General features: G+C 40.7%; 1 protein-coding gene and 1 long non-coding RNA gene across 8 annotated transcripts in view, besides 1 other annotated feature; one reads left to right on the top strand and one right to left on the bottom strand.

The window, feature by feature from the left end:
- NFIB (nuclear factor I B) overlaps nt 1-22,215 on the top strand; it is a 450,235-nt gene that overhangs the window by 156,959 nt on the left and 271,061 nt on the right. The gene's annotated exons all lie outside the window — the stretch shown is intronic.
- The window catches only part of NFIB-AS1 (NFIB antisense RNA 1), a 41,478-nt gene continuing 35,817 nt past the window's right edge, over nt 16,555-22,215 (bottom strand). For all 3 annotated transcript variants that reach the window (NR_186536.1, NR_186537.1, NR_186538.1), the window contains exon 2: nt 16,555-17,967. This is a non-coding gene — a long non-coding RNA (NFIB antisense RNA 1). The remainder of the gene's footprint in view (nt 17,968-22,215) is intronic.
- Nucleotides 18,838-19,337: an enhancer, noted in NCBI's record as "H3K4me1 hESC enhancer chr9:14355781-14356280 (GRCh37/hg19 assembly coordinates)". NCBI's record gives its function as "activates a minimal SCP1, AML or CMV promoter by ChIP-STARR-seq in primed H9 embryonic stem cells {active_cell/tissue: H9 hESC(primed)}" and the evidence as "EXISTENCE:reporter gene assay evidence [ECO:0000049][PMID:30033119]".

Below are 22,215 nucleotides of genomic sequence, written 5' to 3'. Positions count from 1 at the left end.
AAGACATTGAAGTCTGGTCTCTGTTACTGCCAGTTAAATACAAATCCTTACTGAACAAACTACTTCTCTCCTTTGGGAGGAAGCATAGCATGTAATAAAATAAACGTGACATTCATTCATCATCATTCCTAAACTATGCCTTTTGCTATGCCTGCTTTTTGTTTTGTTTTTAATTAATTCCTTTATTTATTTATTTATTTATTTATTTTGAGACAGAGTCTAGCTCTGTTGCCCAGGCTGGAGTGCAGTGGCGCAATCTTGTCTCACTGCAACCTCTGCCTCCCTGATTCAAGTGATTTTCCTGCCTCAGCTTCCTGAGTAACTGGATCTACAAGCACATGCCACCATTGCTGTGTAATTTTTGTATTTTTAGTAGAGACAGGGTTTCACCATGTTGGCCAGGCTGGTCTCGAACTCCCGACCGCAAGTGATCCACCCGCTTCAGCCTCACAAAGTGCTGGGACTACAGGCGTGAGCCTCTGTGCCTGGCTTTGTTTTTAATTAATTCAATTTTTAAAAGACATTTCTTCTTTTAGAGCAACTCCTGAGCTGAGACTTCAGCTGCTTGTACTCTAAAAAAGTTTCTCTCCTTTGTAAACAACCCATTTCTCAACTCACAGAAACCTCAATTAATAATCATTTTTCTCACAAGATGACTCTAGGGGACATTTACTGAGATACTATGACTGTCACCATTGCTGCTGGTACTGAAGTAACAGACACAGATGAACTTTTCTCACTTATTTTCCATGTGGGGTGTCCCATTTAAAATAACTCCATTATGTGTCCCCAGGCCCTAAATGTAGACTGGGTTATAGATATCCTTTGAAACTTCTCTCTTCTTTTCTTTGGGAAGGAGGGGAGGCAAAAGCCTGAATAAAAGAAAATAATTTAAAAAGAAAGAAAGGAAAGAAGAAACAAAATAAGAACCGTATTTTTAACAAAAGGATTTTTGAAAGCCTTGGAAAATGTTATATTCACTCATATAAGGCCCCACTGTTTTAAAACATATTTTACTATAATTTTGCCTTCAAAACCCTGACATTCGAAGTTGAACAGGGCTCTTTCAGTGTACAACCCCAGGACATGGAGAAATAAAAAGAACAGTATTCCAACTAACGCATACTCAGTGGGAATCATCACATCGCATAATTGCTTGAAATCCACAAGCTGATCCGATGTCATCTTCAGAAATATGCAAGTTTCCCTTTGTTTTCTGACTTAGAGATATTTCCTTGCTTTAGGGCTTAACCCTTCAGTTGCTGCCCCTGGTGATTGAAACATAATTAAAATGAATGTGGATCTGCCCTTCCTAAACTCTCCCCAAATGTTAGATAAGATTCCCCCAAACCTGCCAAATCTTATTCCAACAAAAACACAAAATATGAACTTCAGGTGTTCCTTTTCACTCATTTTCTTTATCTACCTGTTTCTAAACACCACACACACACACACACACACACACACACACACACACTCATGTGGACACACACAGCCCTTTAAATGTCTTTCTACAAGAAACTGTAAAAGAACAAAGAGTTGCCATTTTGGAGCATGTAATGACATATTTAAAAGTTCATCAACTTCCCCCTTTAAAAAAAAACCTGGCAATGAGTCTAAAACAATAATTCAAAAAGATTTAGAGAAAAGAATCCTTAAGACTTATTCCTCTGTAACATGATGTAAATCATAAATATACCACTGGTCTGGAAGTGATTACAACAGGCTATAAGACAAAAGATATTCCTAAGCAGACACTGCTGGCAATGGGCTCTATACTCCCATCTGCATATAAGAGGATTTGGGAAGGTAAGTTCTCATAAATGCTAATAAGAGATTCACACCACTGTAAAAAGAATTCCCAGGTGTACATGTTCCAACAATAAATTGTTAGGTCCTGGGCCACAGCTGATTGCATAACCCTTTACAGAAATCTGTCCTCTTATTCAAGGTGAATGAATCTTTTGGTGTTCCAAGCATTCCCACCACCCTTCTCCAGTGTTCCCTTTGCTTCTTGATTGTCATTGTCCCTGACCTTCCTAACAGGATCCCTGGAATGAAGAGGAGGAAACGCTATATAAACAGCTCATTCTAGAAGTGTGAGTCATTCTGGAATCAGTCCCCACCCCCCACCACCGTTCCCTGTATAAGGGATGCTTGCTCATATCTAAGCTTCTCAGTTGCTGTTAGAAAGCATTTCTTTGTTTTGTCTTTCCCTATACCTTTTTCCTGAGGGCAAAGGTTTAACTTTTTTTATTCTTCTCTGAGTGATTCAACACTTGAGTTAGAGGTTCAGTTCACAGGACATCAAGAATTACATTTTGCTTGATAGCATAGCATTAGAAGCTACAGCCAGCCAACTCAAAGGGACACTGCAATGCCATTTTATAATTAAGCAGGGCACCCGCTGGACCACATGTTATAACAGATGTTTCCTGGCCCCAGGTACTAAGCCAGCACACAGTAAAACCGCCCAGAGCCTCTCCCTGAGCCAAGATGGGTCAGTGTCTGGAACAACTCCTGTCTAGTGTCTCTTACTGTAATTAGAGAATAAGGCTAGCTTTTGGTCATTAATTCCATTTGAAAAATAGCCACAGCTAAATGAAAAATGAAAAAAAGAAAAAGAACATCAAAGTGCTTTTAAAATTGAAAAGCTTGATAAGAAAACAGAGATAATTTATTGGTGATTTATTATTTCGATCAGTGGTTTAGATCTTATATAAATTCTGTATAATGCCCTCTCTTCAACATGTTTTGCAAAATTTTCACTCCATTTATAAAATGGATAAAATTAGAGGCTCCTTATGCTTAAGCTGGAAGAGAGTTTTAGGTTGGTTAGTACCAGGAAATCAAACTCAGATGTTTATAGAGGCCAGTTCATAAATGAACAAAGCAAGCCAGAGCACGAAAAATCGTTCTGCTTTTTTTTTCTATTTTTATTTCATTTTCTTGTTTTCAATAAGAGCCATGGGTATGGAAATATCTATCTCCACTTTGAAAAAAAAAACAGTTTTGGCAGGGCTGACATTCAGATGGTGCGCACCTGAGATTGGGATGGTCCTTACCAACTCATGTAGAGATGGTGCTCTAAGCTCACCGAGTGAGGCTCATCCTCAGCTTCTCTTCCAAGAGTTCTTGGACCTCCCCATGACCAATTGGAGCAGAGTGGGGAGCATCCAGGAGCTGCTCTAGCACAAAAGTCAGTGTCCATTCCAATCAGTCAGTTCCCATTCCTTCGTAGTTAAATATTTTTAATATTGCTGAGAACAAGTACATTGACAAATAGCAGTTGGTATTTTGTCTCTGTTTAGGGCAAACCAAAAGGGCAATAGGAATTGATGGAGTCACTGGAGCCCTGGAGAGCCCCTTCCCTGTTAAAGGGGGTAGCTACTACCAAATGAATAGGAATGGCCACTCCTGTGGCCAGATCTTCTGATTTCTCAAGGGAAAGTAAAAACCTATGTTCTTATGTAAAGTTTCCCAACTAAATTATCAACTCATTTAAATACTGTTACAGGCAAACTAAGTGTTTCTGTGGGCCAAATGTAGCCTAGGTGTTCCCAATTTGCAACCTTTTTTATTTCTGAGACATAGGAGAGGACTAAAGTCTAAGTGACTTGCCCAGAGATCACCCAAGTAACTAGTGGCAGAACCAGAATGAGATCCTATAGCCCCTGACTCCCCAGCCAGTGAGATCTGACCTTCTTCAAAACAAATCCTATAATACCACTGAAAACGCTTCAACAAGGATTTCTAGACTGCCTACCCTAAGAAGAAGGAACTTAGATTATTTTTAGTATTACAGTTCTTTATACTAGTGTTTTCTCCTACAACATAAAAGTAAAACCTCATGTCCAAAGCTAACATATAATGATGGAAAAGATATGAAAAGTTCCAGAGATGACTGAGGCCTTGCATAGCTATAAGAAAAGGTTGGTCCTCTGGCAGGTTGGACATATAGTTGGTGTGTGTGTGTTTTTGTTTGTTTGTTTGTTTGTTTGTTTTGTTTTGGTTTGGTTTTTTTGAGACAGGGTCTCGCTCTATCACCCAGGCTGGAGTGCAGTGGCACAATCTCAGCTCACTGCAACCTCTGCTTCCTGGGTTCAAGTGATTCTCCTGCCTCAGCCTCCTGAATAGCTGGGATTACAGGTGCCCACCATCATGCCCGGCTAATTTTTGTATTTTTTGTAGAGATGGGGTTTCGCCACGTTGGCCAGGCTGGTCTTGAACTCCCGACCTCAAGTGATCCACCCGCCTCGGCCTCCCAAACTGCTGGAATTACAGGCATGAGCCACTGTGCCCAGCCTGGACATTAGCATTTAAACAAAGAAATTGATAGCATTTCCAGAAGAGCAGGGGTCAAAAAAGCCCTATGGCAAAGGTGACCCATAACAGGGTAAGAAAGTCTCCAAGTCTGAAGGAACCTCACTATTAGGAGGGATCTGATTTTTATGGAGTTCCAGTGTCGTGTGATCCTGAGATGAATCTGTTCTTTACATGGTTATTTCTTACCTTTGTTATGGAACCAGGTTGTGCCTACAGTGAAGTCAAGTGTTTATAAAGTAGATATGTTCACAAATTTAACACATATTTACACTGTGGGCTAGACCAGCATTCTCAAACATCTGTTATTATCCCACCTTCTACGTGATTTGGCTTCCTCTTATCATTTACACTCTTATTCCTTTAATTTTTAAAAAGCCAATGTACAATTTTTTCTTGACTAAAAAAAACAGTTAACTACCCTTGTGTTGGGGTTGGGGTTACATCAATGAATTAAGTAGTCCTTGACCTTATGGCTCCATAGACCATTAATATACAAATAACTAACTTTGATAAAAATATTGGAAGTGCTATGATAAATGCGAAGAGGGAGCCATTAATTGTCCTTGAGTCCGATGGGGGTAAGAGTGGAAAAGCTTCACCCAGGATGTGATATTGAGCTAGGCTTTCAGGAATGAGCCAGTAAGGAGGTGAAGGTTATTCTAGGCAGAGAAAGCTGCTTGAAGGGAGGCACAAAGTCGTAAAATGTACTGGGTGTTTGGAGATGGCGAATGGTTCAAAATAGCTAAAGCCAAGAACATACAAGGTGAGTGACAGGAAAAGCTGCCTGGGATTGGTTTTAAGTATAGTCATACACAGTAGGACATAACCTTGTCTTACCCTGGGGGTAAAGAGATAGCCCCCAAAGTTTTCAGAGATGGAGAATGTCTGATCTGCTCTAGGTTATGAGAGTCTAATTTTACCTACAGTGGGCTGGTGATGGAAGGGACTGAAAGTAAGAAGGTCAATTAGGAAGCTGTCCAAATATATCAGGCCAAAGATGGTGAAGTACTGAATTAAGGAGTAGAAGCTGTGATGAAAAGGAAAAGCTAGATTTGAAAACCTTTTTTGAGGTAGAAACAATAAAACGTGGTGACTAATTAGGAGAAAAGAAGGAGTAGAAGTTGGGTCCAAAATCTCTAACTTGAGTGCCAGATATATGGAAATGCCATCTATCAAGACATGAGGGAAAGCAGAGCTTTGGGAGGGTGTGTGTGGGGAAGGGAGAGGTGGGGCTGATTGAGGAGTTCTGGCTTGGAGATGTTAAAGCTGAAGCACCTTCTGAAGACTCTGGTAGGTAGATCTACCCAGAAGGCATCAACAACATGGAACCATGGCTCCAGAAGGAAGAACTGTTGGCTATGAGATGGACCCCTGTGGAAATACTCTGCAAATGACTTTTAATGATACAGATGGAAACTAATTATCCTGAGAAGCCTAACCCGATGATAATTAGATAATTTGAAAACTGGTAGTAAAAGAAGGCACAGAACAGCCCTTCGACCAGCTTCCACATCATCTTCTTTAATACAATAAGATTGGGAAATCACTGTGCTTGAAATGATGCAGACACAAGTCTGAACGCTGATCGTCATACTACTAGCTAGCTGTTTGACCTTGGACGAGTTACTGTTTAACCTCGCTTAGCTGCTTTGAGGCAGACATTATTCTGGGGTCTGGGAATATAATGATAAATAAACCCTACCCTCAAAGAGCTTAAATTTCCTTTTCTGTAAAACTACTAGATTGCAATGAGATATTATGTATCAGGCACAGTGCATGATACACAGTACCAAAAACCTGTCACTTACTATATGTGCCAATCACTTTCTATTCTTGGTTCATTTAATTTTTACACCAAACCTGTGAGGTAGGCATTGATATTGTCCCTATATAGTTGGGAAAACTGAGCTCAGGTACCTTGCACAAGTTCACGGGAACAATAAGGGTCATCTGACTCCCAAAATGCTATACTACATCTCCTTTCCTTTGTCAAACTAAATGAGCTATGCAGACATAAGCACCTTCTCTCTCTGAAAGCACCAAAATATGAGGGAATGGAGTAGAAGACATCATCCAAAGAAGATGCCAGTTAAATTGAGATAATATGGCATATTAACATGAAGATAATCAAAACTGAAGTTAGTCAAGATAGCACTGGTATAAATCTCTTTAAATGTTATTCAGATGACTGAACCAAAGATAATGGTCGAGAAATGCTTATCAGTTCAAGATGGCCAAGGCTGCCACTCTGTACCACTCCAAGGAGTTGTGTGTGCAGTTGCACCGTAACCAGTCTGCCTGGTGAAACACGGTGGCCCTGTCCGTAGCTACAGAGTTCTTTTCCTACCTCACATCATTTTTGGAAGTAAGTGCAGAAAAATATTTATTAGTAAGTAAACAACTTTTAAAAGCATTTCAGGAGTAATTTTTACTCATAAATAATGAAATACAAACTACTTAAAGTCATTCTGGGGTGGAAATCTTTACCATATTACTACCTCTTTATGTCTGCTTCTTGGCTGTCATCTTAAATCTTCCTCTTCATTCCCTCAACATTGGCCTAGTTCAAGCTCTCTTCATTTCTCTCAGGACAGCATCCAGCCACTTGTTTCCCTCTGTCTCTCTTTTTTTTTTTTTTAATCTTACTTTACTTACTTTACACGTAAGATACATGTGCAGAACGTGCAGGTTTTGTACATAGGTATACATGTCCCAAGTTTGGTACATGTGCCATGGTGTACATAGGTGTACATAAGTGTACATGTGCCATGTTTGGTACCTGGGATACATGTGCAGAACGTGCAGGTTTGTTACATAGGTATACACGTGCCATGGAGGTTTGCTGCACCCATCAACCTGTCATCTACATTAGGTATTTCTCCTAATGCTATCCCTCCCTTAGCCCCTCACCCCCTGACAGGCCCCGGTGTGTGATGTTCCCCTCCGTGTGTCCATGTGTTCCCATTGTTCAACTCCCTCTTATGAGTGAGAACGTGCGGTGTTTGGTTTTCTGTTCCTGTGTTAGTCTGCTGAGAATGATGGTTTCCAGCTTCATCCATGTCCCTGCAAAGGACATGAACTCATTCTTTTTTATGGCTGCATAGTATTCCATGGTGTATATGTGCCACATTTTCTTTATCCAGTCTATCATTGATGGGCATTTGGGTTGCTTCCAAGTCTTTGCCCTCTCATGTATCAATTGCTCTAAGGCTTAAACCCCCTCAGCATTTCCCTATCAACGAAAATACACACCCATATTCATGGAGGAACACAGGTTGCTTACAACCTTTTGACCCTCATTCCCAATTCACAACTTCTTAGATCTCAGATGTGCCCTTCTGTTTCACACCTCTGATCCCTCTGCACTTACTAGTCCCTCTGCTTGGCATGTCTTCCCCAGGATCACCTGATGAACCCCTACTCATCTTGAAACACACAGCTCAAGAGACATCTCATCTGAAAAGCCTTTCCTAGCCTTTCCATATTTAGTCTTTGTACCCACACAAGACTCTGAGTTCACTATGGAAACTGTCACAATTAATAATGTTTCCTTGTTAACATGTTTGTCTCCCCTAGTAGACCTGACACTCCTTGAAAGAATGCACATTATCTTCTATAGTTTTGCATTCCCATACCCAAGTAGAGCACCTGCATAGGGTAGGGGCCCAGTAAATACTGTTGCACTGAGTAGAATTGAATCCAATGTCATTATCATGGTCATCAACTCAGGGTTAGTGGACTCTTACAGGAGTATAATTTGTTGATAAGTGTTACATTTAGCGTTTAGAGTGGTGGAAGGAGAGACAGCCAAAACTCTTGTTGATTCTGATGCAAAGAAAACAGGGCCCTCTGAAGTAGGAGGTAAAGAAGAAAAGCTGGAGGTGCCTGAAATGTGTTCATTTCATCACTCTTCAGTGCAAGAGATTGGAATTTCAGTGCAGGCCAAGCCACTTGTCCTAGAGGGTTCTGACAGATTTTTTGGGAAAAAAATTTAAAAAGAATAAAATTCATCCAGGCACGGTGGCTCATGCCTGTAATCCCAACACTTTGGGAGGCCGAGGCAGGCACATCAAGAGGTCAGGAGTTCGAGACCAGCCTGGCCAACATGGTGAAACCCATCTCTACTAAAAATACAAAAAACTAGCCAGGTATGGTGGCACGTGCCTGTTATCCCAACTACTCGGGAGGCTGCAGCAGGAGAATCATTTGAACCTGGAAGGCGGAGGTTGCAGTGAGCTGAGATCATGTCACTGCACTCCAGCCTGGTTGACAGAGCAAGACTCTGTCTCAAGAAGAAAAAAAAAAAGAATAAAATTAAAATCTGTGGTCAGAAGGTTACAGAAAGGAAAGACACACATATCCGCTAGGGAATAGGAAGTGGTCTTGTCTTCAGCAGCAGGACTGTCTAATAAATCTGGAGAGTTTTATTGACTTCATAGGCGCAAAAATAACCACCCGGAGAAGACATCGGGTTTCACTTATTTTTTGGAAAGTAATTTTTCACAGACGCGAGGTTAAAAGAAAGTGGTTGCACGGGCCTCGGCTGTGGTGGTGTGTCTTCTGGTATGCGTAATGCAACTGGATCTCAATTCTGGGACGATGCCCAGATTCAGGGGCCTAAAGCCTCTGTTGAAAGCAATGAGGACAGAGTGTTGCCAAAATTTTATATAATGCAACTGTAGATCAATTGTCTTAGTGCAAGGGTAGACTTTGATCAGGAGCGTCTGGAGGGAGGGGTTTCATTAAATGCTGTTTTCAGCCTTTAATTCTAGGTTTTACATCTACTTGTTCCTAAGTCAGCTACAGACTCTGAATGGCCCTGACATAGAGAAACTGATCCCTAAGCCCACATCTGGCTCTCAGGCATCAGCAGTGACTGGCATGGAAGGAGTTCCTGGGTAGAAAAGATGTACAGTTTGGGAGGTTTTGCTCTTACTCCATAGTTTTTGGTCTCACGTTAGATCAGTCAGAAAGGAACACGCTTGATACTCTCTCCCTCCTGCCTCATGTCTGTGATTCATTAGAAAAACTTAAAAACTTCCCCTATACTAGGACAAGCTTTCCTAAGAAAATAATTGATAAGAGCATATGTTTGTTGGATGAATTCTTCCTAGAACAAACGTCTGGCCAAGAATAGAAAATCCAGCCAGTCTTAGAAGGTATAAGAATCTATTTCTGAACTCCTTCAGATGAACTCATCATTATGGAAAAGATGGAAGCTAAGTAATATTTCTAAGATTTTACAACTGTCATGCTTATTCCTCCTGGTCTACCTGCAGGGATCTTATCCCACAGGGCAGGGAAAACTTTTGTACTACCATCTTTCTTCTACAAATCAACAGGAACACAGACAGAATAGCCATGGTCTGGCCACACTTGGTGGTGAGTGGAGTCTCCTGGGGTGTGGGAAGACACATTATCCTCAGAGCCTTTAGCATTCTCAGCAAAATTGGACTGGGGTCCAAGAATGAGAGGGTCTGAAAACGACCATTGGACTGGGAAGCAGGAAACAAATAAAATGTGAAACCATTACATCTGAAATAATCATCTTATTTTAGAGATGACAAACATAAACGGTGGTCTCGAAATTTATTTTTTAGCAGCAGAATTCTGTTTCAGAGCAAAATCTTAGATAAAATAGCCAACATTTACTAAGTCCTTGGCATGTGCAGGACACTGGGCTAAGCACTTTACATGGGTAGTGTTATTTAATTTAATCTTCACTACTCTGAAATTGGAACTATTGTTAGGCCTATTTTACAGACAATGAAAATGAGAAATTAACGTGCCTCAGAAAACATAATACACAGCCCACTATATGGCACAGATCAAAATGGGGTTGATGTGGTGGAATTGCTGTTAGATTACCAAGAACTCTTAAATCACCCTGCTGTCTTGTTCCTCCATTACCCTCTCATCTCTCTGAAGCAACCCTGAGGCTTTATGTGGAGCAGAGTTTGATAATGTTTTTACTAGAAAACTCCTAAAATTTCTTTTTATTCTAATGCCCAATTATCCTAATTCTGGAGAGGTAAACCATAGTAACTGTCAAAACGTGCTCTTTAAGACTGGATATTGGCAAACCTTGCTCTTCCTTAAAGGGCTGGCTCAGGGTCACTTTTCACACACCTTTGAAGACTAGATTTTTAAAACTATTTTGATCCAATAAATGTAGGAATGAAATCAAAGAATTGTGCAGATATAAACATTCTGATGCTGTAAGATGAAATGTGTTGTTATATTAAAAAGTAAGGACCCATTTCTATTTCTTTAATAATTATTAGGTATTTTCTCACTAACACATTTTCTTATACATTCAGAGACAAATTGTTTCTAATAAATCCAGCCAGACGCTAGTATTAAGCATTAGAATTTTCACCTCTCGCATTAACTAGATGTCTGTCTGGGCAGTTGGCTCACCCAGAGCAGGGAGTTCATCAAGGAAAGGGAGAGACTTTTGATCTCTTCGTTGGCTTTTCACAAAGCCAACAAACTTCACAAAGCCAAAAAAACTCCACAGGCTGAACCTGTTAACTCCTAACTCACTTCAGACATTCCCAAATTGCACGATTTTAGGGTTGCTAAGAGGGTGGGGAAACAGACAATTTCTTACACTGTGGCTGTGAGTGTAAATGGGTATAAAATTATTGGAGGGCAATTTGGCAATAGCTATTAAAAATGAAATACTCATACCCTTTGACCCAATAATAATTCATCTCCTGGGAATTCACTGTAGAGAAAGACTCTACAACTGCTCAAAGATGTTTAAGAGTAAAATGATGTTTGCAAGAATATTTGTTACAGGAAAAACTGGAAAGAACTCAAAGGTGAATTAATAGGCAATTGGTTAAGGAGAGTATGGTTCAGCCATACAATACAATTTCATGGAGCTATTTAATAGAAGATTAAAAAGATGATAAGTTTTTACCAACTGACATGGAAAGATGTCTAAGACATATTGCTAGATAGAAAACGGCATGCTTTTGAGTTGAGAGTATAATCCCATTTTTTTGTAAAATAAGTGAAAAGTTAATATATGCCTTGAAAAAATTTTAACTGCTTTTCTCAGCTGTGTGGGATTACGGGGGATTTCCACTTTCTATGCTACATATTATAAAGTTTAAAGATGTTTATGTGTGTACATATACATATATATGTATATGTACACACATATACATGCACATATATATGTATATGTACACACATATACATGCCATTGCTTTCGTAATCAGAAAAAAATAAATGTTTCTATGGCTGGGTCTTCAGAAACACCTCTTAGGAAAGTATGGAAGCCTAGTCCAAATCCATCAACTTTACTGTAAAACAAAAACTTGGTTGACATCGGAACAATGATACCGCTTAACCAAAAGGAGGAGCACACTTGGAAACTTGTCTGGTCTCTAGATTCTATAAGCCATTGTAATAATTAGCCCACAGTAGAGTGTTCTTCCAAGGAGGGGCAAAGCTGAAAACTGTAGCCAGTTTTTGAACCACTGCCACAGTTAAGAAAGGACAACTGACAACCAGGGCCTCAAACGGAGTAGTCTCAGTCCCAGTGGTGACTTGCCAGGAGTGGGGGTGAGGGAGTGTCCGTAAAAGACAAAGAGTTTGTGTTTAATTTTAATTTTTACAATTTTATTGAGCTAAAATTTGGTGCAACTTCTCTAGCTCAGTTTGATGCAATTTCTCTAGCAGATCCCCATTTTGTAGAGTGTATACTTATATTAAAGGGACTCAATAAAATGAATGTAAAATTACAAATATAAAATTAGGCACAAGAGTTTGGAAGAGGCCCCTAAAAAGGAGAAGCCCTTAAGCTAAGCTTCATTAGCTTCTTCTCAGTGAATTCTTGCTACTCTGACCCAAAGTCCTTTTTTTTGTTTGTTTTTGTGTTTTGGAAACAGAGCCTCACTCTGTCAAGCAGACTGGAGTGCAGTGACAGGATCCCAGCTCACTGCAGCCTCAACGACCTGGGCCCAAGCAATCCTCCCACCTCAGCCTTCCCAAGTAGCGGGGACTGCAGGTGCACAGAACCATGCCTGGCTAATTTTCAGATTTGTCATAGAGATGTGTCTTTCTATGTTGCCCAGGCTGGGCTCGAATTCCTGGCCTTACGAGATCCTCCCTGCCTCGGCCTCCTGAAGTGTGGGATTATAGATATGAGCCACGGGACCTGGCCTCACCAAAAGTTCTTAAACCAAGAAAACACAGGGCAGTAACAGGTATTCTTCCTTTTCTTGAAGAATTATCCTGCCAAAACAGTTTCCCCACAGTTTGTGGTGAAAGCTAGAGGCATCCTGAGGCATCCCAAGGCAGCCTTGGAAGACTGCGATCTATGTTCCTTTGGGGATACTTGAGTTTCTGTGGATGGAAATGCTCTGGAGAAGCTCTATTTGTTGACAGTGGCAGACACCCAGTTCTTGATGTTCATAAAACTATGGCAGGCAGAGTTGGGAAAGATATATTAGGTCATAAATCTAGATTTGGGTCCAAGGCAGAATGGTTCACCATTGTAGTCATTCCAAGTCATTGTCCAGGCAGCTTTGAAATATCTTGAGGGCCTAACTCTTAGAAGGCTATTTTTCTCCTCTGGTTCCTGGGCAAATGTTGGGGTATTTGATTTTTTCTTTTTTAAAAAGACATGTTAGAATTGGAGCCACAGAACTACTTAATTATCTCCATTCACCTAAATTTCTATAGTGGTTTCCTTATGAAGAAAACAATTAATGTAGAGAGGCCCTAGTACCTCTGGCATAAAGTTGTCATCAAAGAACAAATCAATGATTTTCTTTGGTTCCTTGTATTTCACCTTTTGTGTTGAGTTTTGTTTCAGCTTTAAGGAAAAAGCAAACTTGCTGGGCTTCTCATTAGCCAGCATTATCAAGAATGAGTAAGATTTAAAAGCTCCTTTTTGTTAATGGAAAGGAATTAGCTTCCTTGCCTTTCCTATAAACATTTACATTGAGTCTGTTTACTCCTGTCATTGGTAAACCTCATTTGTTCCCAAGTTTTATTTTAGGCTATTACAGGGCTAAGAAAAAAATGGGAAATCCTAAAACTAAGCTTTCATTTTTTCATGTTTTCTTTTAACTTCATATTGAATGATCCTAATCTTCCAAAAGATTTTAGTGGCTACTGTTGTGTAGCAAAGAGGGAGACTGTTCTAGACTACAAAGAGAGTAGACTTGAATTAATACAATTGCTTGACTAATGTATGCTATATGTCATTAGTGAAATCATTTATGTGCCTTGCATGCATGCATGTGTGTGCATGTATGTGATGTGATGTGGTTTGCTTGCTTGTTCATGAAAATATTCAGAACAATTCTCTTTTTGATCAGTAATGCTACTAGCAAATACAGAAGTGCTGAAGAATAATATGATATTTGAATATTTGCATTTGAAAGCCTATTATCATTTTAAACCAAGACAAGTGGGTGTTAGTTTACTGATGCCAGTGACATCAGCATTAGTAATGGGCTCTTTTAGCAAAAAGCAATCCTCAAAAGTCTTTTTTTTTTTTTTTTTAAGAATTCTGAAAGATGAGCTCCCAGTTAATCAACTCTCAAGGAGCTGACTGTAAATGTTATCTGAGTTAAACTTATCTGAATTTAATTAGATTAAAAAGTTGACTGGGAATTCATCCAAAATGTGCTCATCAAAAAACAAAGGTATTTGAAAGTGGAGGAAAACAAACAGGATTATGGGTGACAAAATTAATTTGAAATCTCTTAAACCTGGAAAAATCATTAAAGATAGAAATGCTGAATGTAAATCATTTTATTTTTATTTTAAAAATAATTAATGAAATATGTCTATCCCTGGGGTTTTCTGTGACATGTTCCTTTCAGAAAAGTGCTCTTCCACACTAACAAATAAAAATTATCAAAAGGTACAAAATTAACCAAAGGTACAACATCACTGAAAATCACCATAAGGCCAGGCGCGGTGGCTCAAGCCTGTAATCCCAGGCTTGAGGCCCAGGCTTTGGGAGGCCCAGGCGGGCGGATGACGAGGTCAGGAGATCGAGACCATTCTGGCTAACAAGGTGAAACCCCGTCTCTACTAAAAATACAAAAAATTAGCCGGGCGTATTGGCGGGCGCCTGTAGTCCCAGCTGCTCAGAAGGCTGAGGCAGGAGAATGGTGTGAGCCCGGGAGGCGGAGCTTGCAGTGAGCCGAGATCGCGCCACTGCACTCCAGCCTGGGCGACAGAGTGAGACTCCATCTCAAAAAAAAAAAAAAGAAAAAAACAGAAAATCACCATAATAATATTTTTCCACCCAAATCATTCAATTTGCCAAAATACTTTTTGTTATAATTTGTGGATGTAGTTAAATGTAATCTCATAAAGAATTAAAAGTATTTTAATTGTGCATTAACCAAATTCTGTTTAGGAAAAATAATAAAATTACTTGAATTTAGAACTGTTCGGAAAATTATAAACTATATAATGAAAAGTTCATACTGCTAGTGACCTCAATATGGGGGCTATACCAAATTTCTTACTGGCAAATAAATTGTAAGCTCTTAAATAGATGGATATCTGTCCTGAATCGAATGCTTTAGATAAGGGTTGGGCTTAATATAAGTGTTTGTAGCACAAATGAACATGATTGAATTCAGGTAGGTCTTAAGTTGTTCACTGTTTGCTATATATTTTCCTGATTGTCTTTTTTAGTTATGCCTCATTTAAATAGTAACTGACCAAGTGATAACAACTATATGTATTTAAAATGCTCTCTGTGCAGATGAGCACTTTCAAAAGTTCTCCAAAAATTAGCATGTCTACATTGGTTAGGAATTTGGCTTAAAAAGAAAAAAAATAATTTTCTCATATAATATGTAATATTTAAAAATCTAGTGGTAGAATAGATCCAGTTTCTTAAACAATGCCTTTCTTTAAATCTAACTTTACTACTTTCTGTGCTGCTTTAAATGTCTTTCTTTAAATCTAACTTTACTACTTTCTGCGCTGCTTTCATTCATAGGTATATCTAGTAGCAAAGATGGAACCACCCAGCAACCCCAGGGAGAAGGAGAGTGTTTGTTTTACCATAGAAGCTGAGTTCCCATTGCCCTAGCTTGTATCACATGCCCATCCCTCAACCATACACTAGTGCTGCAGTGGTGAGCTGGTGTATTATTAATAGTTTCTTATGGCTCCCATAACAAATTTCCAAAAACTGGTGGCTTAAAACAAAAGAAATTGATTATCTCACATTTATGGAGGCCACTAGTCCAAAGTCAAGGTGTCAGCAGGGTCATGCTACCTCTGGAAGCTCTGGGGGAGATTTTGTTTCTTTCTCATCCAGCTTCTGGTGCCTCCAGGTATTCCTTGGTTTCCGGCCACATCACTGCAATCTCGGCCTGTGTGGCCATTGCTTCCTCATCTTATCTTTATGTCTCTTTGGTGTGTCTGTGTCAAATTGCTTCTGCCTTTATCCCATAAGGGTACACATGATTGTATATAGAGCCCACATGGATAATCCAGGAGGATTTCATCTCAAGATCCTTAACCTAGTCACACGTGCAAAGGCCTTTTTTCAAATAAGGTCACATTCACAAGTTCCACAGGCTAGGATTTGGACATATCTTTTTAGGGGCCACCATTCAACCCACTACAGCTGCCAGTTTAACAATCTCCTTGGCAAGAAAGGGTATACCCTGATCTTGTAGCATTTGCCCAGTTCTGTAGTGTAAACGCTGCTACCATGGCCAACTTCAAGCTATCAAAGGGAAGTCAATGAACATGGAATTGGGAAGAGATGTATAGCAGCACGCCATTATCCGGTGTTTCTACTACCAGATCCAACAGATGTAAGTAAACTCAAGAGCATAAATAATAGTAAAATGCAGTCAAATGATTAGGAAGTGATGATAAGGTTGATGTATCATTACCTTCATTTTTAACATAATTTAATTATAAGGTTGTGAACTTTAAATTTTAATGGTGAGTGTTTAACAACTGGCACATGAAATTTCTGAACATTTACCAGTTGATTTGGATGAGTTGATATGAGTTGGCTGCAACAGACCACTGGATAAAATACGCTGACTGATGGGGCCTGAGTCATAGAGCCTAGGGTGTAAGGTCAGCAATAGCCAAACCACATGAACTGGAAATAGGGTGTGTGGTTTCTTTTAGAGAAAACTGGGGTGCTACTACCTAAAGAAGGAGAAAGTAACATTGGGAAGACAAAAACAACGAATCCACCTCAGTCCTCAGTGTCATTGTTTCAACATATTTTAATGATTTCAGGCTAGGAAAAAACTTTCAGCAAAGTTTCCAAGAATTACAAGTATGACTGCTGTGGGTATGCACGTACCTGCAAATCAGACTCTCTCCTCCTATGGAAAAAAACACAGTTTTTCACATTTCCATTTTAGTTAGCCCATAAAATCTGGCTTTTTAAGCCTGGACACATTTATCCCAAAGTGATTGTGCTCAGAAAATGTGAAAGAAACGAACAGCCTTTTTTTAAAGTATATATTTTTTAGTTTTTAGCAGTTTTATTTATGTATTTATATATAATTCACATTTTATATAAATATAAAATTATTTTATATAGTATATATTTATTGATATATGAGTTATATATCAATAAATAGATATTAATTATGTAAATAAACTTATGTCTAATTCACACATTGTGCAATTCATCCATTTAAAGGGCAAAATGCAATGGTTTTTAACAAAATCACAAAGTTGCACAACCATCACTACAATTAATTTTACAACATTTAATCAACCTAAAAAGAAACTCTGCACCACTTTGCTGTCATCCTCCAGGCTCCCCAAACTCTCCCCAAGCTCTAGCCAATCACTAGTCTAGTTTCTGTCCCTATAGAATTGCCTATTCTAGGAATTTCATATAAGTAGAATGGTACAATACATATTCTTTTGTGACAGGCTTCTCTTACTTAGCATGATATTTTAAGGTCCATCCTTGTTAACGCATGTATTAATATTTCATTTCTTTCTTCACCAAATAGCATTCCATTACACGTATATCCCACGTTAAGTTTATCCATTCATTGGTTGATGGACGTGTGGATTGCTTTCCCTTTTTGGCTATTATGAAAAGGCTGCTGTGAACATTCATTTACAGGTTTTTACGTGGACATAAGTTTCCATTTCTCTTAAACCAATGGTCTCTTTAGTAAGTGTTCTTATTTTCCACATGATTAAGGAAACTGCTATTTAGGAGTTAACTCAGAAATATCTCATGTAGAATTTCAAACCTCTTGAATATTGGGTCACTACCTCCAACCCTGCTATTTCTTGGTAGGGAGGAGGAGGGTGCTGTCTATCAGGAAAAAGTTGGATCTGACTTGGGGCTCACAGATCACTGCACAGGGGTGACTGAATTCCCTTTGCAGCACCTGAGGCCAGGTCTGGCCCACAACTGGCTCACAGTAATCAGCCCATCACAGTGTTCCTTCAGGGACTCTCCACATATAAAGTATACAGAGTAAGAAAAATAAAACCTTAGTCTCTGACCTGGAAATCAGAGTCATGGGGTTTGGGAAACTTGCAGGAAAGAAGAGGAAAAAAAAAATAGCTTTCCTGATAGAAGCCAATGAAGTTAATTTTCTCCCTTGTGTGACTTGGAGGAGTTCTTTGGTGTGTCCTGCAGACCTGCAATGAAAAAGAAGGCCCTATATTAATTTATACAGCAACTCTTTTCCAAGAAATTCAGAGCATTTCAAACAGTCTTTCACTCATTCCCCTGAGGGATTTTGCACAGTGTGCATAAGAAATTACTTCTTTTAAAATTTACACTCTTCAGTTAGCCAGTACTGAGCAGAAATAGAACTAGAAAAGCAGACCTCCTGACCAAACATTCCGCTATAATATTTTCAGTGAGCTTCTATAAATCAGTGTATATCCTTAAAAACAGGATCTCCCCATAACAGCCCCATGACCACTCACCGGTGACTGACATTCCTTTCAGCAAGAGCAAAAGTTTCCCTTCCAAATTAGAATCCACTGGTATGGCATGCACTATAAAACTGAAGTGTATCATTATTCATAATTAAGTGCTCAGGATCACCCAGACCCTCAGACCATCCAGTTTTACTCTCCAGCTCAGCCCTCCTAACTCACCCCAGCTGAGGACCCCTTAATAATCCTGAAACTGGTGGAGTGCAAGAGAGGAGTCCTGCTCGTAAACCCCAGGCAAAAAACAGGAGACGAAATCAGTCCTGCTCTCACTGTTGTTTCTTGCTCTGTCTCGGTGCTGTTTTTACACGGGGCTGCACTGCCCCTCAGGGCCTTGCTGACCATTCTGGGTAGCATATTCAGCTCCAGCTTCCCAAAGCCCACCAGCATCAGCCACATGCAGGGCTAAACTTAGCCCTCAACCCCAAACACTAGTTCCTCGTGTGGGGCCTTTTCTCAAGATATTCTTATTGTGAAATCCTCAGTATCCATCCCTGGGAAAAGAAAATCTTGGTCCGAGCCACACTAGCTCATGTGGAATCTTGGGAAATAACATCCTGGGGAGTATCTGTGCCTTTCTTTTTCCCACTTCAAGAAAACCTCTGGGATCCATAAGTTCCCTCCTAGTGACTACCAGAGAATGGGAAGTTTTAATCCAGTTAGTGACAAAAAGTGCGTACTAGTGTCTCACGCTGCCCCAGCCTCAGGCATATTTTGTTTGGGACCCCATAATCTTAATATGCACATTATTTAAAACGTGTACTAGTTGTCAGCTAGCACTGGCCACACAGTTTGTGAGGGACCAGTGCAATGCAAAAATGCAAGCCCGTTGTTGAAAGTTTAAGAATTGCAAATTGGCCTTTTTTTTTTTTTTTTATTTGTTTGTTTGTTTGAGGCGGAGTCTCGCTCTGTCACCCAGGCTGCAGTGCAGTGGCGTGATCTCAGCTCACTGCAAGCTCCGCCTCCCGGGTTCATGCCATTCTCCTGCCTCAGCCTCCGGAGTAGCTGGGACTACAGGCACCCGCCACCACGACTGGCTAATTTCTTTGTATTTTTAGTAGAGACAGGGTTTCACCGTGTTAGGCAGGATGGTCTCGAACTCCTGACCTTGTGATCCACCTGCCTCGGCCTCCCAGAGTGTTGGGATTACAGGCGTGAGCCACTGCAGCCGGCCAGGCAAGCAGGGTATTTAAGCCAACGTGGGGCACTTCTAAGTATGGGATCCCGTGTGACTGCAAAGGACACACACCCAGGAAGCCAGCCCTGCTGCCAATATTTAAAAAGCAAAAGATTCTTCAAATAGAGAATCTGGTAACCCTGGGTCTGCATCTCCAAATGGCTGTACATAATGGGCTGGTGCAGAGTATCATCTTGTTGTATTGGTTTGCTGCGCTTGCCATTACAAAATACTGCAGATTGGGTGGCTTAAACAGCAGAAATTTATTTTCTCACAATTCTAGGGGCTCAAGTCTGAGATCAAGTTGTCAGCAGGGTTGGTTTCTTCCGAGGCCTCTTTCTTTGTAGATGGCTACCTACTCCGTCTTCATATGGTCTTCCCTCTATACATGTCTGTGTCCTAATCACTTCTTACAGGGACTCCACCAGTCATACTGGATTAGGGCCCACTTCATAATAACTTAAGTACCCCCTTAAAGGCCCTATCTCCAAATACAGTCACATTCTGAGGTATCAAGGGTGATTTTGGAGTGGCACAGTTCAGCCTGTAACACAGCTTTTCCCTTTGGGGAGGGGTGCAGTGTTCCAAGTCACTGTGCTTACTCCAACCCAAACATGCTCACACACACACAGCATCTCCCCATCCCTGAAGCAGGGGTCGGTTGCTATAGGTCATCTCATTTGTGCTGCTGTTCTTCCTCTGGTTCGCTTCTCTCATTTAGAGAGACCTGCTCCTCCCCTGCCGCACAAGGAATAGTGACAGTGTTCACAACAGGACAAGGGCTACACACTCCCTTCACATCTGTAAAGCTAAGGTTGCTGTTCAAGTGATCCTTCACGGGACAATCCATTTCTACACACACACACACACACACACACACACACACACACAGAGTACCCATTACATAGAGATAACCATTTAAATGCAATGCTGAAGGAAAAAATTGCCATGAGGTATAACTGACTGCTCACCTCAGAAACTAGATTTGGAGATTTTAGGAGAGAAAAACCCTCAGCGACTACATAATTATTCCCCAGGGCTGATCCCACTTAAAAATTCACCTGACTGTACAAGGGATGGCCCTAAATTTCAATGGAAACCCAACCATGTAGCCCCTTAGAGAGACCGTACTCTCAAATTGGTCTTTGTACCTATTTGTAGAAAAATGTTAGCCAGATTATAGCTGAAAACTCTGCTAATTCTGGGGAAGATTTTGGTCTTGTGCCTGGAACTATTGAAGCATATATTCACACCTACCACATGTAACACTTAGTAGCAGAATTTCCAGCACAATACTTTAGTACTTTATTTTTAAAAGAAACAGAGCAGAGACTGAAGCCCTGTTCACTCTGCAGCTTTCTTGCAGGAGGCTCCACAAAAGGTGGTGGTGAGGGAGGTTCTGTGCTCAAAAGAGCTATTTTTTTATTTTTAAAAGGAAAGGAGACACTAAAATCTTTGCTCACAATTAGGGAACTCATGATGCTGAAACATAACATTTGCACCTGCCTGTAGATTGAAAAAATAATGTCAAATTTGCAAGGCTCTGAGAAAATAGGGTGCGGTGTATTAGTGATTTAATCAATCCCAATCAACATTAGAGTTCAGACAACACCTTACAGACATCTTACTGTAACCCCTTTGGTTTTTAGAGAAGGAAGGGGAGGTTGGAACATTTTAAGTGATTTGCCCCAGATCAGCTCTCCACCTAAAATGCAGGTCTTTTCTTTCAGATGAGCGTACTTTCCACTGCACCAGGCTACTTCTAAACAGGCATTGTCCTGTCAGCCTCAATTGCATGCAAAAAAAAAAAAAAAAAAAGACAAAACCCCTCTCGCTCTCCACTAGAGTCTCTATTTGGACTCTAGAACGGACAAAGCAACGGCTATTTCAACTTCAACTCCCTTAGCAAATGGAAGAAAAGGCATCTGACCCGTGGACTCCTCCAGCTGGTCCCCGGGTCTCACCGCCTGCGGGTCTCCACGTCAGCTCGCAGGCATCGGCGGCCAGTCGGACACCAGGGGGCGCAGCAGCCTTTGTCCTGACAGGTATTGAAGAATGAAGCCAGACTGGGCCGTCAAGAAAAATCTGACTTCCCTCCTTTCAGTTTCTCTCATTGGAACCAGCCCACTCCCCAGCCCCCTTCATTCGCCTTAAAGCCATTTTCTGCTTCCTCCTCATGCTCAGATTCTCAGGGTGCAGGGATGCAGCAGTTCAGAGACCCCTCTCCAGGAGCTCCCCCGCTCTGCCAAGGACACCCTAGCAGTGGTCCACCATTTGTTCTCACTTGCAGGCCTCTGAACTCAGGATGTTTTTGGCTATTCTTCCTGAATGAAGAACCCTATAGAACAGGACCAGCTTCCCAGAAGAACTGTCACATCTATCCTCTAATATCCCTCCCCTTTCCACGCACAAAAACAATCACAAATTAAATAACATGTCTGGGAAGCTCACGCGGCCTGGACCTATCCCTCACCACCCTCTGTCTGCCCCTACAGTCTAAGGACAGCCTTTGGTAGTAGCTACCTACCCAAAGGGACAGGCTGCAGCACCTTCACCATACCTCTGCCATTCTCACCAACCCATGGTGCACCCCAAGCAGGATAACTGCCTCCTTGTAACCCCACCAGCTTGCCTCTGTGTGCCCTCCAGCAGAAAGAAATCCACTTGACCCTTGCCAAAGTCTCCTGATTCCAAAGATTCAGTAATAAATGAGCATCCTCTTCTACTTTAAGACATACTCCTAACCCTGCCCCTATAGACACAAACGG

Source organism: Homo sapiens, chromosome 9 (assembly GCF_000001405.40).
Source record: "Homo sapiens chromosome 9, GRCh38.p14 Primary Assembly".
Lineage (NCBI taxonomy): Eukaryota > Metazoa > Chordata > Mammalia > Primates > Hominidae > Homo > Homo sapiens.
This window is presented reverse-complemented; position numbering and strand designations above follow the sequence as displayed.